Consider the following 18,109-nt stretch of genomic DNA (forward strand, 5'->3'; position numbering starts at 1 on the left):
GAAGTGGCACGGGTTGCTTCTGCTCATGTTCTGTTGGCTGGAACTCCGTCATATGGCCACACTTAACTGCAAAGGAGGCTGGGAAATGAAGTCTTGCAATGCCTGGGAAGAAGAGGAAATTGGTTGGTGAACAGATAACGGTTTGTGCCTGTAGGGAAGGAAAATACATCTTTTTTTTCTGCTCTTCCAGGTTCTCTGGCTGGGGCTCTGTAAATTAGACTAATGGAAGACAGATTAATAGGCAGAAAAAAAAAGAAGTTTATTAGCATGTGTATCATGCATGCACATGGGAGCATTCAGAGATGAGTAACTCAAACGGGTAGAAGTTGGAGTCTAGATACTATATCCAACTTAGTAGGAGAAAGAGAGGGAGGGAAGGGGCATTTAGGGAAAAGCAAATGACATTTTGGAAATGTAAGTGAGCCCTTAGGAGAATAAACGTGAGATGTGATAGTTTGTGCCAGTGTCTGTTAGAGGTACTCCTGGGGAGGGGATTTATGGCAATTGAGTTCTTTTGGGAGCTTCTGCTTTTAGGCAGACAAGGGATTTCAGGAACTCAAATGACTTTGGCACAAAATAATTCTTATGCCGAAGTGGCACATTTGAGGGTGGCATTTACTGATTCCCTCATGCCCCAGATATCACACTGATTATCACAAGAGACCCAGAGCGCCCTTCGCAAACGCTGGATTGGAAATGTCAAATTCAGCATGGAAATGTCACAGTCCTTGAACATGCTTGAATGAATAAGTGAAAAGCACACTTCTGTTGAAGGGGAAAGAATGTATGATTCTGATCCTTGGACCAGACTCTCTTCCTTGACAGTCTTTTTTTTTTTTTTTTTTTTTTTTTTTTGAGAAGGAGTTTCGCTCTTGTCGCCTAGGCTGGAGTGCAGTGGTGTGATCTAGCTCACTGCAACCTCAGCATCCTGGGTTGAAGCGATTCTCCTGCCTCAGCCTCCTGAGTAGTTGGGATTATAGGCACCTGCCACCACGTCTGGCTAATTTTGTATTTTTAGTAGAGACAGGGTTTCACCATGTTGGTCAAGCTGGTCTTGAACTCCTGACCTCAGGTGATCCACCTGCCTCGGCCTCCCAAAGTGCTGGGATTATAGGTGTGAGCTACCATGCCTGGCCTCTCTTTCTTGGCAGCCTTTCTATCTCAGTTGTTCTGAGAGTTCGTGCCAAGGAGCACAGTGACACATTCTGTAACCCTTACCTTGGAACCATTGTTCTGGGGATTCTTCACAACCCCACAAGTGTCATCCACCTGATGACATCACATTCATGCTGCTTTGGTGTCCAAGGCATTGAAGGCCGTGCTGAGAGGGTGACATTGGTGTTTGTTACAGCTGGGGTGACTCTTTCAGGGTCATCTTATTTTCTCCTGACAAATACATGTGCCCTCTCAGCCCCTGGATCAACAAGGGTGCTTTTTGTTCATCTCAATAAGAAGTCCTTTCTTTGTTTTCTCATTTGCCACATGCTCTGCCTCATGGCTACTCCAGCGTCAGTACTGATCGGCGTCCAGTGTCTGGGCACTGTGCTGACACTCATTAGACTTTAGATCCCCCATCCTAGTAGCCACCTGCAGGGCAGGGCTCTGCAGCGGACTCTTTCGGCTCTGGTAGGGGTCTATTTGAGTGATCCATAAACCCCCAGGTCCTCTGGCTTCTGGGGCATTTTGTAAATGGCTATTTTGTGCTATTTTACTAAAGGTGTCAGATAATGAAAAGAGAAATGCAAATCAAAACTACCATGAAATATCACCTCACATTCATTAGTATGGCTACCATTAAAAAAAAAACTCAGAAAATAACAAGTGTTGGTGAGGATGTGGAGAAATTGGAACACTTGTGTGTTGTTGGTGGGGATGTAATATGGTACATTCTGCTGAGTAGTCTAGGGAGAAAGGTAAAAAATAAAACAGACGGTGGCTCACGCCTGTAATCCCAGCACTTTGGGAGGCTGAGGCGGGTGGATCACCTGAGGTCAGGAGTTTGAGACCAGAGACCAGCCTGGCCAACATGGTGAAACCCCGTCTCTACTAAAAACACACAAAAAATTAGTCGGGCGTGGTGGTGGGTGCCTGTAATCCTGTAATCCCATCTACTCGGGAGGCTGAAGCAAGAGAATCACTTGAACCTGGGAGGCAGAGGTTGCAGTGAGCCAAGATCGTGCCATTGCACTCCAGCCTGGGCGACAGATGGAGACTTCATCTCAAAAAAAAAAAAAAAAAAAAAAAGAAAGAAAAAGAAAAAGAAAGGAAGAAAATGGTGCATCCAGTGTGGAAGATATTATGGAGGGTCCTCAAAAAATTAAAAAGAGAATTATCATCACTTCTGGGTATATACTCGAAAACAGGGTCTTGAAGAGATATTTGTACACCTGTGTTCAGGGCAGCATTATTCACAACAGCTAAAACATGGAAGCAACTCAGTTGTCCACTGATGGATGAATAAATAAGCAAATTGTAATTACACATAAAAGGAAACACTGGTCAGTCTACAAAAGGAAGGAAATTCTGGCACATGTTACAACATGGGTGAACTTTGAGGACATATGCTAAATGAGATAAGACAGTCACCAAAGGACAATTAATTTAGCCAAGCGTGGTGGCGGGTGCCTGTAGTCCTAGTTACTGGGAGGCTAAGGTGGGAGGATTGCTTGAGCCCAGGAATTCAAGGCTGCAGCCAGCTATGATTGTGCCATTGCACTCCAGCCTGGGCAACAGAGTGAGGGCCTATCTCTAAAACAACAATAAAACAAGACAAATCCTCTGTGATTCCATTTATCTGAAGAACTTACAGTAGTCAAAATCATAAAGAGAGAAAGTAGAATGGTGTTGCCAGAGGTTGAGGGATGGGGAGAATGGGGAGTTACTATTTAGTAGACATAGAGTTTCAGTTTTACAATATTAAAGAGTTATGGAGGTGGATGGTGGTGCTGGTTACACAACATTATGAATCTATCTAATGCCACTGAACTGCACAATTTAAAATGGTTAAGGGCCAGGTGTACAATTTAAATGGTTAAGGGCTCACACCTGTAATCCCAGCACTTGGGGATGCTGAGGTGAGTGGATCACTTGAGGTCAGGAGTTTGAGACCAGTCTGGCCCAAACGGTGAAACCTCGTCTCTACTAAAAATACAAAAATTAGCCTGGCATGCTGGCAGGCACCTGTAGTCCCAACTACTTGGGAGGCTGAGGGAGGAGAATCACTTGAACCTGGGAGGCGGAGGTTGCAGTGAACTGTGATCTCACCACTGCACTCCAGCCTGGTGACAGAGCAAGACTCTGTCAAAAAAAAAAAAAAAAAAAAAAAAGAATAAATAAAATGGTTAAGGTGGTAAATTTTATGTATATTTTACCACAAAAGAAGCAAAAGAAAACAGGTAACTGTAGCCACTTGTGCCTGGGATGGGGAGGGGCATGAAGGAAGCCACCCATTTCATATCACCAGGGAACTACACCTTATTTTATTTTTTTGAGACGGAGTCTCGCTCTGTCACCAGGCTGGAGTGCAGTGGCATGATCTCAGCTCACTACAACCTCCGCCTCCTGGGTTCAAGCGATTCTCCTGCCTCAGCCTCCCGAGTAGCTGGGACTACAGGTGCGTGCCTCCACACCCAGCTAATTTTTGTATTTTTAGTAGAGACAGGGTTTCACCATATTGGCCAGGATGGTCAAGATCTCTCAAACTTGTGATCCACCCATCTCGGCCTCCAAAAGTACTGGGATTACAGGCGTGAGCCACCGCGCCTGACTGGAAACACATCTTTATATAGCTCTCCTCCCTTCATGGGGGCTTGTGGGGAAGTGAGAAAGAAAAGCAGGGCGGCAGTGCCTCTGGAAGCTCTTTGGTGCTTCCAAAAGGTAGAAATGGGGAACCCTCTGTTCAGCAGAGCATGTTTTTGAATTTGGAGGTTGCCCAGAGAGGCCTGGAAGCCAGTGCAGGGGAGGGCCACATTGTTCAGCACACCAGGATGCTGAGTTTGAAGGGGGCATAGGGAGGACCTCAAAAATGACAGTAGGGGCCTGACGCGGTGGCTCATGCCTGTAATTCTAGCACTCTGGGAGGCCAAGGTGGGCAGATCACCTGAGGTCAGGAGTTCAAGACCAGCCTGGCCAACGTGGCGAAACCCCGTCTCTACTAAAAATACAAAAATTAGCCGGGCGTGGTGGCACATGCCTGTAATCCCAGCTACTTGGGAGGCTGAGGCAGAAGAATAACTTGAACCCAGGAGGGAGAGGTTGCAGTGAGCCAAGATTGCACCACTGCACTCCAGCCTGGGCAACAGAATGAGACTCTGTCTTAAAAAAAAAAAAAAAAAGGAAGCAGGATATGTTGAGGTATGGAACACATTCAGGAAGCTGCAAGGGGAAGTTTCTAGGATGGAGACCTAGGAAATTTTTAAGACTCTAAGAATCTTTGCAGTGAAACAGCTCCATCACTACCTACTGAGACCAGGCTACTCACCAGGGCCTGGACCCTGGTCTACTCCTGTAAGGTACATGGATGTGCTTTGGTCAAGGAATAGGGTGAGGGGGATATCCACGCCTGCATGTCTGAGCGAGTTTGGCGCGCAGGCACACACTTCCACTTGTTACACAACCTGTTTGTTTAAGTTCATACTTGGCTCTGAGCCACTATTGTCTGTAGAAGGTATAATTGCCCTACTAATGCTGTACAGGGGCTCTTGAGGCTCAGCTTGGCTCAACATGGCTGGACATGGCTCTTGTGCAGGTGTGCTGGCTCCCAGAGAAAGAGATAGAGAGAGAGCCAAAGCTGTCTGTCTTGCAGATGGACAAGAGGGAGCCAGGACATAGCTCGGCTTGCTCATGCCCAGAGAGAGAAAGAGTTAAGCTGCTGACCCTGAAGGCAGTGGAGAGCTGGCCGCACAGGTGTGCATGGGAGCTGCAGGACTAAGCAGCCAAGACATGGCAGACACTGTAAAAGAGCTAGTTTGCATCAGCTGTGTAAGAGAGCGGCTGCTGAATAAAACCATATTCGCCTGCCTACGGCCCTCCGAGTCTTCTTTCTGCCCATCCACCCACTCCCCTCGGACTTCAGCTATGGGCTGGACCCTGATCCCAGGACCTGATAACCCCTCTACTCTGTGTGTGACTCACTCCTTCTTTTCCTCAGTTTAGATTTCTGAGAGAGAACCTCATTGGCCCAATCAGTGCCCACTCCCTTTTCATGTCAGGCACTCAGAGGTCAGATTCCCGCGATGGCCAATCAGCGGTGGCTGCGGAGTAGGGAACAAGGCCGCCCTCACTAGCAACAACTTGAGTCTGCTTCTTTCACCAAGGGCTGCGTGGGTGAGTGCTCCCCTCAGAGTGAGATTCGCTGCTGCTCCTGGAAAGGACCGAGTAGTGCCGTCTACACATTTTGCCCAAAGTCATACGGCTGTTAAGGGTCAGAGGCAAGTTTCAAATCTCGGTCTGTTGACACTAAAGGCCCTTAGCCATCTGTCCTTTATTCTACATTGGCCTTTCAGAGCAAGATGTAGGAGACACAGGAGGGTGGAAAGAAATTCTTTGGCCAAGACTGAAATATGGCCAGATGGTGGAAATAAAAAAGTATTCTTTTTGGTCACTCCTATAGAAGATACATTTACAAACCTTCTATCAAGAACAGTTATTAAGCCCCTAAACAAACAAAAGTCCCTCGTGCTACAGGATAATGCAGGAAAGAAAGCCAATAAATCATTACCCAAATTTTGGAAAAGTGGCATGAATTGCACATTAAAAAGTCAAGGGAATGGAGTGAGGTCATCTTTAAAGGCAGAAGGCCCCTCAAATTAGAGCCAGCTGTGCTCCGCCTCTACACCTGGCTCCACACGCGGGCTCGTCCGCGTGAGAGATGAGCCGGGAATGGGATAAAAACCATCCCAGAACCCACAGGAAATGCAAGTCCCTCGCCAGGTAGAGGCTGAAGTAGGAATGCAATGATATTAGCAGCTCTTGAAACTCCATAGTTCAGTACTTCAGAGAAATCCTCAAGGGCTTTTAAAGCTTTCTGTTCCTTTGCTTTATTTTGTTTTTAAAAACTGTCTCCCAATCTCTTTCCCTTCCTCTAGTCTCATGGTTACTTCCTGTTCCAGGCACCTGCACAATAGTCCCAATTTCCCCTAACTAAGACCCCTAAGTGTTTGTCCTAAGTTCCGATGGCGAGCTCTGTACCCCAACCTCCTCCACGAAAAAGGGCGGTTCATAGAGGAAATTCCAACCAAGGCTCCTTGGGTCTGAATCCCGTTCTCATTCTTACCAGCTGTGTGATCTAGAGTCTATGCCTTGGTTTCACTCATTTGCAAAGTGGGGATAAGAATAGTAACCACCCGGCCGGGCGCGGTGGCTCACACCTGTAATCCCGGCACTTTGGAAGGCTGAGGCGGGCGGATCACGAGGTCAGGAGATCGAGACCAGCCTGGCCAACATGGCGAAACCCTGTCTCCACTAAAAATACAAAAATTAGCTGGGCGTGGTGGCGGGCGCCTTTAATTGCGGCTACTTGGAAAGCTGAGGCAGGAGAATCGCTTGAACCAGGGAGTCAGAGGTTGCAGTGAGCCGAGATGGTGCCACTGCACTCCAGCCTGGCAGTAGAGCAAGACTCCGTCTCAAAAAAAAAAAAAAGAAAGAATAGTAACCACCTAATAGACTTGTGAGGGTTAAAGGAGATGATTTATGCTAATTACTGGAGTAGTGGCTGGCACATGGTAACTGCTTAGTAAATATTAGCTACTTTTACAGTGAAGTAGAGGATAGAAAGGAGTTGCATTTTTATTGGATAACAACCCTAGACATTTTGTGCATTCCAGAGAAAGGTATGAAAAGGAACTTCCTGGAGCTGCCTGGTCTGGGGCGTGCAAGCATCCCTGCTGGCATCTCTCTATGGGTCTTTGCTTCCCCCAAGCATCATGGCTGAAAGGAATTTTATGAACTGTTGCCTTTCGATCTATTTCCAATCTTATGTGCATGCCCTTTGCTGCAAGACGCTAAAGTGTCTCCCACTAGAGTAGGCAGAGTGTATTTCTCTGCTCCATGGATGTTGGGCTTGGCTATACGACATGCTTTGGCCATTGGAGTGTGGGCAGAGTGACAGTATGTCAGTTCCAAAGAGTGTCAGTGCTGCCACCCACCCCTCTTGCACTTTCTGCTTTCCTCCATGGGAAGAACATACCCCAGGTAGCCACTGGCCTCAGAATGAGAGACACATGAAGAGAACTAAATGCAACCCAGGGCCTGAAGGAGAGCTGCTCTGGCCAGCAGGCACATTTGTGAGTGCGATATAGATGATTGCTGCTCTAAGCCACGGGGATTGTGGAGTTTGTTATCCAGTAGGACTCAGCAGAAACCTGGCTGATACAATGTTTTTAGGCTCAACAGGGTGATCACAGCATGAACAGCAGAGTACATGGCTCCAGACATCCTACAAGCTGCTGTCCGAATAAACTTCTAACATCACGCCTTTCCCCCACTGCCTGTATACTTAAGTCCACTCTCCTTTGCTCTACGGTGAAGGCTCTTCTCACTTGAACTGCAACCAAATTTTCCTCACCTGTCCCCTCCTCCCTTAACAAATTTTCCATCCCAGGAGCAGTGGCTCATGTCTGTAATCCCAACGCTTTGGAAGGCTGAGGTGGGAGGACTCGAGCCCAGGAGTTCGAGACCAATGTGGGCAACATAATGAGACCTTATCTCTACAAATAATAATTAAAAAATTAGCCAGGTGTGGTGGCACATGCCCATAGTCCCAGCTACTCGGGAGGATGAGGCGGGAGGATCACTTGAGCCTGGGAGGTCGAAGCTGCAGTGAGCCGTGATGGCACTACTGCACTCCAGCCTGGATGACAGAGTGAGATCCTGGCTCAAAAAAAAAAAAAAAAAAAAAAAAAAAACAGAAATAAAAAACCTAAAACAAAAACAAATACAAAAATCTTCCATTGCAGCCATTCTTAAACCATATGTAAAGTTCTGCTGCTGACTGTTTTTCTCCACCTAACTCCTAAACTTCATGAAGACAACCAGCCGTCCCATTCATCTCCCGCTTCTCTGAACACAGGTTGTCAGAGAGGAATGGGGCCCACCCATGATTCACTCTCACACCCTCTCTGTCACTCTGGTGCCTTCGCCCTACTCCGCTCCATCCCTCTGGGTTAGAAGTAGGATGTGGTACCTAGCTGCTTCTTACCCAGATCTCTCTGACATGCAGTCCTGGTGCCCTTTGTCACCCCATGTCAGCTCTGGGCACCCTCCCTGGTCCATCCTTGTGTTAACAGGACCCAGGTGACTCCTGGCACAAAGGGGGATGTTGGAAGCTGAGGGAATGTTTCCTTGCAGGGGCAACAGAGGCAGAGAAGAGTCCAGGCAGCCTTGAGGCGTTAACGGAGACTGACCTGGAGGCCAGGCCATGTTTGTTAATGAACCTGAGAAGCTGCTGAAGGAGGCCTGGGAAAGCCCCGACTTGACACCTGTGGCTGCTTCGAGCTCCTGAAGGCCATTCTCCCCTGGCAGGTGGATGTCAAGAAACGAATACATTCAAAGAAGAAGGGGAAAGATATGGTTTGAATCTGTGTCCCTCCCAGATCTCCTGTGGAATTATAATCCTCAGTGTTGGAGGTGGGGCCTGGTGGGAGGTGGTTGGATCATGGGGGTGGATTTCCCTCTTGGTGCTGTTCTCGTGAGAGTGAGTGCATTCTCGCGAGATCTGCTCATTTAAAAGTGGGTGGCACCTCCCTGCTGTCTCTCTCGCTTCTGCTCCGGCCGTGTGAGGTGTTCGCTCTCCCTTCACCTTCTGCCATGATTGTAGGTTTCCTGAGGCCTCCTGGAAGCCGAGCAGATGCCAACCTCATGCTTCCTGTATAGCCTGCAGAACCATGAGCCAATGAAACCTCTTTTCAAGTTATCTGGTCTCAGGTATTTCTTTATAGCAGTGTGAGAACAGACTCATACAGGGAGTGAGGACTTCTCTGATCAAAGGAAAGCAGCCACCTGGTTTTTGTCCAGTGGTTCACTGAAAATATTTTACTGAATAAAACTTTTCCTAACTGGCAAGAATGGTCTAGAAGCAGGTTGCTCAAATAGTGGAAGAAGTCCTCTTGAGGTCAAGGTAGTCACTGATGCCTTGACTTAGAACAGCAAAGCCACTACCGGAAAACCTGAACGCGCAAGATCGCAGTTCACAATTCAGAGCAGAGGGCCTGTAGCCCTTCGAGGCCCGAAGCCAGAGAATGCCGGAGGAGAGTTTTATTGCAGGAACTTAAATTTAACCAGCTGGAACTCTTTAAACAATCATCCTATTCATATATTTAAAATAAATTGTGCATCTTTTAGCAGGCAGTCAGCGTTTCGTTATTAAGATGGAAGATGGGACAGAGTGTTCTTGGCTGCGTTGATCCCAGAATCCCAGGCTCCTTTTCAGGCGCGCTTAGCATGTGGTAAAGACATTTGCGAAGGTAAGTGTGTTTCAGGCCTGTCAGACTGGAGCCCGCATACCTACACAGCAAGCAGCCGCTGGTCAACTGAGCAGCTCAAAGGGAGACCTTTCCAAGGTGATGTCATTTTCTCCTGACGTTCTACCAGAAGCCTGTAGGGAGCAAGAAAGTTGGAAAGAAAAAGGACGTTTTAGAAGGTTTAGTGGATTTACCAAAATCTTCTGGTAACAAATAATAAAATATTTCATAGAGCTACAATAGTTGAAACAGTGCGAAGTGGTTAAAAAAGGAGCAGTTCCAATAGATTGTTTTTTTTTTTTAAATAGACTTTAAGATACATAGGAAGTCAACATAAAAGGGAAAAGGAAGCTTATTCCTTGAAAACAACCAATACTATTATATGAAACCTGACAAGTTTTACCATGAAAAAGTATACACAATTAGAAATGAATATGCAGAAATAACCCCTGGTACCAAAACCTGACAAGTTGGCACAAAAAATTACACAGATCAATCTCTTTTCTTTTTTTTGAGACAGAGTCTCATTCTTGTTGCCCAGGCTGGAGAGCAGTGGTGCGATCCCAGCTCACTGCAACCTCTACCTCCTGGGTTCAAGCAAGTCTCCTGCCTCAGCCTCCCAGGTAGCTGGGATTACAGGCACCTGCCACCAGGCACAGCTAATTTTTTGTATTTAGTAGAGACAGGGTTTCACCATGTTGGCCAGGCTGGTCTCAAACTCCTGACCTCAGGTGATCCACCTATGTCGGCTTCCCAAAGTGCTGGGATTACAGACATGAGCCACCGTGTCCAGCCTCTTCTCTTTTCTTCTTCTTTTTTTATTTTTTGGAGCCAGGGTCTTGCTCTGTCACCCAGGCTGGAGTGCAGTGGTGTAATCACCTCTCACTGCAGCCTCAACCTTATGGGTTAAATTGATCCTCCCACCTCAGCCTCCTGAATAGCTGGGACTGCAGGTGCACAACCATGCTTAGCTAAATTTTTTATTTTTTGTTGAGACAGGATCTCATTTTGTTGCCCAGGCAGGTCTCAAACTCCTGTGCCCAAGCGGTCTGCCCACATTGGCATCCCAAAGTGCTGGGATTACAGGCCTCCCAGCCAGATCAATCTTTCTTACTTTTGAATATTGACATAAAAATCCTAAATAAAATATTAGCAAATTCTATTCATCAATATTTAAGCCATAGTTTTATCACAGGAGTGTAAGAGTCGTTAAAAATTTGGAAAATGTGGTCCTGTAATTTACTGCATTAATACGATAAAGGTTATAAAAAACATATATCATTATCTTCACTGCTTCTCAAACTTTGATGTATATAAGCGTTACCTGAGGATCCTTTAATGCATATAAGAATAAAAAAATGCATATTCATGGCAGGACTCAGTGACTCACACCTGTAATCCCAGCATTTGGGAGGTCGAGGCCGGTGGATCACTTGGGGTCAGGAGTTTGAGACCAGCCTCGCCAACATGGCAAAACCCTGTCTCTATTAAAAATACAAAATTAGCTGGGCGTGGTGGCTCATGCCTGTAATCCCAGCACTTTGGGAGGCCAAGGCAGGTGGATAGCCTAAGGTCAGGATGTTGTAACTGAGCGAGTTGTAGAGAAACGCCACACTCTGAGACTAATTCAGGAGTCCTTTATTGCCGGCGACTGAGAGACGGCTAGCGCTCAAAATTCTCTCGGCCCCGAAGAAGGGGCTAGATTTCTTTTTATACCGTGGTCTAACTAGAGGAGGGGGAGTTTAGCTGAAGCAATTTTTACAGAAGCAGAACAGGCAAAAAGTTAAAAAAATTAATTGGTTACAGAAGTAGTTACAGAAAAAATAAACAGTTCCAGGTGCAGGGGGCTTAAACTATCACAAAGATATAAAGGCAGGGGCTCTAGATGCCATCCACCGAGCGTCCCCAGGAGCTGCTGGTTCAGCTTGCCTCAATATCTTCTCAGTAAGTGCATTCCTGGATGTGCATGGAGTCAGCTTGCACCAGTTATGCCCTTAAGGGAGGGAGGTAAAGGGGCTGTAAGTGAAGGAACTAAAATGGAGTCTGTCTGGCTCTCTCAGCTAAGAGAGACAATCAGGTTAAAACAAGGTAGGGTATCACAAGGAGTTCAAGACCAGTCTGGCCAACAGAATGAAACCCCGTCTCTACTAAAAATACAAAAAATTAGGTGGGCGTGGTGGCGGGCGCCTGTAATCCCAGCTACTAGGGAGGCTGAGACAGGAGAATTTCTTGAACCCAAGAGGCAGAGGTTGCAGTGAGCCAAGGTCACGCCGTTGCACTCCAGCCTGGCAACAAGAGCGTAACTCCGTCTCAAAAAAAACCAAAAAAACTCGATGTAATCTTAGACTGGCCATGTATGGTGGCTCATACCTGTAGTCCCAGCATTTTGGGAGGCCAAGGTGAGAGGACTGTTTGAGACCAGCCTGGGCAACACAGTGAGGCCCTGTCTCTACAAAAGAAGAAAAACAGAAAATTAGGCATGGCTAAATGATAAAATAATGTTCTAGTTGAATTTATACATATATACATATACATATAAATAAAGATCTAAAACTTCAATATGGCAAATAACATTATCTGGGCAAAATAATAGCAAAATACATGACAGACAAGGAGTAAATGTGCCAAATATATAAAAAGCTACTTTAAATAGAGAAAATGGTCAAAGAACAAGTCATTCACTGAGGAAGAAATCCAGATGGCCGTAAACACAAGCAATGGAGCTCAAAGAAACACACATGATAGCAAATATCTGGTTGAGTATTGTTTATCTGACTGACTTTTTAAAAAATTAAAATATCCATTTTTGGTATGTAGAATCAGACAGCCACACATTGTTTTTAAGCAAGGCTTAGTGCTCAGTGATGTTTTACAAAGGGTTGCAAAATTCTATCATGCATGATCCCATTTAATCTTCGTGGCAATTCCATGAAATAGGAAAGTGAGATGTTATCCATTTTACAAATGAGGAGTTTTGGATTCAGTGATGTTACCTTCCCAATGTCATGGAGATAGTAAGGGGTTACCTTGTAATTTGCTGAATGTTTATTACATTATCGTTTTCTTTGGGCCATCATGATTAATTTGTTTTTCAATGAATTTCCATTACTTCAAAAGTTTCAGAATTATCGATACTAACATATTATGCTCTTGTCTCAGGGGAAGATACATTGAATGTCTTAGGAATCTCCAATTTTGTTTCTTAATGAAACAATCTATTCAAGGTAAAGCACAATTGATAGCTTAAATATCTAAAAAGGAATGTGAAAATGACTGCATTGTATTATTACTTCTTTAGTATTACAAGGAAGCTGTGAGTTATAGTACCACAGACATTTTAATGTATTTTAAAAATTTGTGAAGTTGATTAATTAATTGGTTAATTTCCTCCTTCAACAAGTATGTTTTGAGGGTCTACTGCGGGACATGCAGTTTTCTTGACCCTGGAGATGCAGAGATGAGCAAAACAGGCAAAATTGCTGTCTGCATGAAGCTGAGCTTCTAAATTTATTTTTGACATATGATAAAATAATGTTTGTGCTAGTCGAAGTATAAAATATATGACTGTACCGCCAATATTTTATATAATTCAAACAAGATAAAAAGCAGATAATTCAATAAGCACACATTGCAATTTAAAGTATACAAAGATGCTCACTAGCTTTGCCTGAAAATTAAACCTGGGATTGTAGGTATGTTAAGGTATCCTGCTAGAGGTTAAGTTTATATTTTGTTCCTCCTCTTCTTTGTGGTGTTTTTTTGTCTGTGTGGAGACCAGTCTCACTCTGTGGCCTAGGCTGGTCTCGAACTCCTGGGCTCCTGCCTTGAGTGGCTGTTGGGATCCTCCCACCTAGGCCTCTCAAAGTGCCGGTATTACAGGCATGAGTCACCACACTCAGCCCCTTCCCTTTCAAGAAGGTGCCACCAGCCTGGGCAACATGGCAAAACCCCATCTCTACAAAAAATAAAATTAGCTGGGTGTGGTGGCGCTGCCTGTCGTTCCAGCTATGTGGTGCTGAGGTGGATTACTTGAGCCTGGGAAGTTGAGGCTGCATTGAGCCGTGATTGCGCCACTGCATGCCAGCCTGGGCAACAGAGTGAGACCTGTCTCAAAAAAAAAAAAAAAAAGGCTGGGCGCGGTGGCTCACACCTGTAATCCCAGCACTTTGGGAGGCCAAGGCGGGTGGATCACCTGAGGTCAGGAGTTTGAGACCAGCCTGGGCAACATGGCGAAATCCCGTCTCTGCTAAAAATGCAAAAATTAGCCGGGCGTGGTGGTGGGCGCCTGTAATCCCAGCCACTTGGGAGACTGAAGTAGGAGAATCGGTTGAACCCGGGAGCAGAGGTTGCAGTGAGCTGAGACCGCGCCATTGCATTCCGGCCTAGGCAACAAAAGCGAACACGGTCTCAAAAATAAAATAAATAATAAGAAGGGCAAGTGGGCGTTGAGCTTGGACAAAGGAATGTGACAATGGCCTGGGCCAAGGGAAGGTAATTAGATCCCTTTTGTTGCAAAAGGTTTAAAAGAAAAAAATCTGACCAACCCTGTGGAGAGAAACAGCGGACCTTAGTTTTGGTTCTGGGAAGTTGGGCTCAGAACAGCTTCTGGGTGTCCAGGGACAGCTCACCTGGGGCGTGGTCGTGCGAATGCACCGCACAGAAGCTGGCCCCAGTGGCCCTGCTGGCTCAAGGAGCAGCCGGCGAGAGCACGGACTTCCCTTCTGCCGTCCACGCCCATTCTGACCGCCAGGCGGCGCCTTGGTGCCTGGTGCCAGAGGCCGCAGGACCAGCAGTGGCCAAGGCCGGCGCTTACAGTCCCAGGGATCAGAGGGGACGGTAGAGTCGCGGTTGGTGGGGACCCAAGCAGCTGTCTGTCGCGGTTGGTGGGGACCCAAGCAGCACGGAAGGGGGTGAGAGGACACTGCTTACCTAGTGATTGAAAAGATTATATTTTTTGAGCTGGCCACTAATTATTGGCTCAAGGCAAAAAACTGTGACACAGCTAGAATATTAGAATATTATCGACCTTTCCCCACCTGTATACCAGCATATGTGAGCTTGGGGTGTGTGTGCTGGTGGGAGGTGGGGGTGTCTCTCAGCCCCTTGGATTTGATAAAAGCTCAGCCTGGGGCCCCATTCCACGCCCTGAGGAGTTTTAAGCCCTGCCCAAGATCTCAGCAGCTCCGAATGCAGCGGCTTTCCCCCACGTCACTGTGCAGTGTGGCCCCTGGGGGCAGTGTGGCTCTGAGGGCAGGAGTCAAAGTGTGAGGCTCAGGCTCTCCTTAATCCCCCGTCCCCCAAAGGGCCCACCCTGACAGGAAAGGGGACTCACATCTCAGCAAATTCACCAAGTCCCTGAGATGTGCCTTGTGCCAGGGTCCCACCTCCTTCTTGGTCTCTACTGGCCTTGGATGATCCTCCTACCCTCCCATCTCACCAGTGCCTCCTCCCCTGGCTTCCCTGTTCCCCCTCTCTTTGTTCTGTCTCCCTCCCCGGAGCACAGCCAGTCTCCTCCTCATCTCGCGGAAAACTCAGCTCGCCTTCTCTGATGACTGGGTGCCTGTGCCCTTCCGCGTCCTCAAACCTCACCTTTTCCAGGTGTTTCTACTTCAAGACAGCGGCCCTCCTAAGAGGATCCCAGCTGCCAGGTGTTGAGCTAATAACACACTCACTGCTGTTCACCAAACGCCAGATCTTTGAAGTCAGAAGTTCATTAGGGATGAGCTATTTGATATCAGTCTTTTATTTCATAACCATTGGTCATATGCACAAACATTTTCTCTTGGCCTCTGGATATGCAGTTGGAGGTTTGTTAGTGATGGATATTTCAGAGGTTAAAAGATGAAGACCATTTCCAGAAGTTACAAAACAACCCTTAAAATTCTATAGTGAATTGGGCCGGGCACGGTGGCTCACACCTGTAATCCCAGCACTTTGGGAGGCAGAAGCGGGAGGATCAGTTGAGTTCAGGAGTTCGAGACTAGCCTGGCCAACATGGCAAACTCCCATCTCTACTAAAAATACAAAATTTAGCTGGCACATGCCTGTAATCCCAGCTACTCGGGAGGCGGGGAGAATCGCTTGAACCTGGGAGGCAGAGGTTGCATAGTGAGCCGAGATTGCACCACTGCACTCCAGCCTGGGCGACAGGGTGAGACTTTGCCTCCAAAAAAAAAAAAAAATTGTATAGTACATTGTATACTTTAAATGGTAAATTAGCAGGGTGCAGTGGCTCACACCTGTAATCCCAGCTACTCGGGAGGCTGAAGCAAAAGGATGGCATGAGCCTATGAGTTCAAGGCTGTAGTGAGCCATGATCACGCCACTGCACTCCAGCCTGGGCAACACAGCAAGATCACTTCTAAAAAAATGGTAAAGTACGTGGTATGTGAATTATATCCCAGTTAAGCTATTATAAAAAATAAAAATGTCGCTGGCAGCTCGGCACTGTCCTCTCTGGACAGCCAGGCTGTCGTGGCATATGAATTTCCCACTGTGGCTCTAACAAGTTACCAAAATGTCGTGGCTTTGAACCACACAGATTTATCTCACAGTTCTCGCGGATGAGAGGTCCAACATGGGTTTCATGGGCAAAATTAAAGCGTTGTTAAGGCTGCGCTCCCTTCTGGAAGCTCCAGGAGAAAATCTGCTTCCTTGCCTTTTCCAGCTCCTGCGGCCGCCCACATTTTCGTTGACTTGGGTCCCCTTCTTCCGTCTTCAAAACCAGCAGCATTGCATCTCCTGCCTTTTTTCTGCAGCCACTTTTTCCTCTGATGGACTCATCTGGCTCCCTCTTCCACTTTTAAGGACGCTTGTGATGACATCAGGCCCCACCAGACTACCTGGCATCATTTCCCCACCCCAGGGTCTGTATCCATAACTCACTCTTGCAGGCCTTTTGCCATGTCACGTGACACATTCACAGACTCTAGGACTAGGGCGTGAGCTTCTTTGGGGACTCAATGTTCTGCCTGTCACACATTGTGAGACTGCTGAGCCAATCCGGCAAATGATGGAAGGACCTGGAATTATTGATAACCAGCCTCCACTCCATCCCCAACAGCCAGCTGCCCTTGGGACCCACATCTTGCTGAGGGCCTGGGATTGATTGCACTTAGCATGGATGTTACTCCTTGGCTTCCAGGCCCCAGAGTTCTTTTCTTCTTTTTCTTTTTTTTCTTTTTTTTTTTTTTTGAGATGGAATCTTGCTCTGTCGCCCAGGCAGGAGTGCGGTGGTGCCATCTCGGCTCACTGCAACCTCTGTCTCCCGGGTTCAAGTGATTCTTCTGCCTCAGCCTCCTGAGCAGCTGGGATTACAGGTGCCTGCCACTGCGCCCAACTGATTTTTTTTTTATTTTTAGTAGAGACAGGGTTTCACCATGTTGACCACACTGGTCTCAAACTCCTGACTTCAAGTGATCCACCTGCCTCGGCCTCCCAAAGTGCTGAGATTACAGGTGTGAGCCACCACACCTGGCCTCCAGAGTTCTTCTAAGCAGATCTTATAGTTACCCAGGATCCAGGGGACAGGCAAGGCCTGACTTCTTCGTGGCCCAGCCTGGCCTGAAGGGGAGAATGTGGGTTTCCACTACTGAACAGGGGCATGTGGGCATTTGGGCAAGGTCAGCACCTGCCTTTTCACGTGCTCTCCAGCAAGGTGTCTGTGGACACGAGCCATGTGCATGGGGAGGCCTTGGCTGTGGGGGGAGCTGGGCCTTATGGGCAGGGATGCTTGGCAGAGATGACCAGTGCTTCACCCGTACGTCCAGGAGGAGGCCATGTCTTAGCCCACTTTGTGCTGCTGTAACAAAATGCCAGAGCCTGGGTAATTTATAAAGAACAGAAATTTATTTTCTCAGAGTTCTGGAGGTTGAGAAGTTCAAGAGTGAGTTGCCAGCAAGTCCATTGTCTGGTGAGGGTCTGCTCTCTGCTTCCAACATGGCGCCTTGAATGCTGCATCCTCTAGAGGGAGGAGCGCTCTGTCCTCACATGGCAGAAGCTGGAAGGGCAAAATGAAACCAAACTCCCTTCTTGATGAGGGAGTCAATGGCACCATCAAGCCCTTTTAGAATGGCATTAATCTATTCATGAGTGCAGAGCCCTCATGACCTAAACATTTCCCATATTCCAACACTGTTGCTTTGGGGATTGAGTTTCCAACACACATTTGGGGGACATATTCAGACCATAGCAGGCTGGAACCTTCAAGCATCCAGGAGGGAAGGCTCCTCGCTGGGACTGAGAACAGGATGTCAGCCTGGGGCTGGGTGCAGCCTGCAGGGCCCAAGGATGCCCAGCAGGTGCATGCACTTTTACGACCCAGCCGCCTGCCGGCCCAGAGCTCTTCCTTGCCCCAGTCAGGGCCCAGCCGTCACTAGCAGGAGGCCGTCTCCAGGGCGTTGGCCAGAGCAGAGTTCTCTCACCTCCCCAGCCTCGGCGGAGGAGGAGAAAGTGGCTGTGGCCTCCTGTGGAAGGGGTGGCGATAAGGGACTTTGGCAGTTCCAGGAACTTTGGCCACCTTGAGGCCTTCTAGGAGCCCTGTCTTCTGGGGGGTGGTATACCCCACCAGCACCTGCAGTGCTGGGGTCACTGTGCGCTGGTCAGGTGGCCTGACTGAGGCGCTGCCCCATCTCCAATGTCCCCACCACAAT

At 47.4% G+C, this 18,109-nt stretch overlaps 1 non-coding gene across 1 annotated transcript; it reads right to left on the bottom strand.

Moving 5' to 3' along the window:
- Positions 1-5,797: 5,797 nt before the first annotated feature.
- MIR1471 (microRNA 1471) lies at positions 5,798-5,854 on the bottom strand. The gene has a single exon (NR_031717.1). It is a non-coding gene; the product is annotated as a microRNA 1471 (primary transcript).
- Positions 5,855-18,109: the final 12,255 nt, after the last annotated feature.

This window comes from Homo sapiens, chromosome 2 (genome assembly GCF_000001405.40).
Source record: "Homo sapiens chromosome 2, GRCh38.p14 Primary Assembly".
Lineage (NCBI taxonomy): Eukaryota > Metazoa > Chordata > Mammalia > Primates > Hominidae > Homo > Homo sapiens.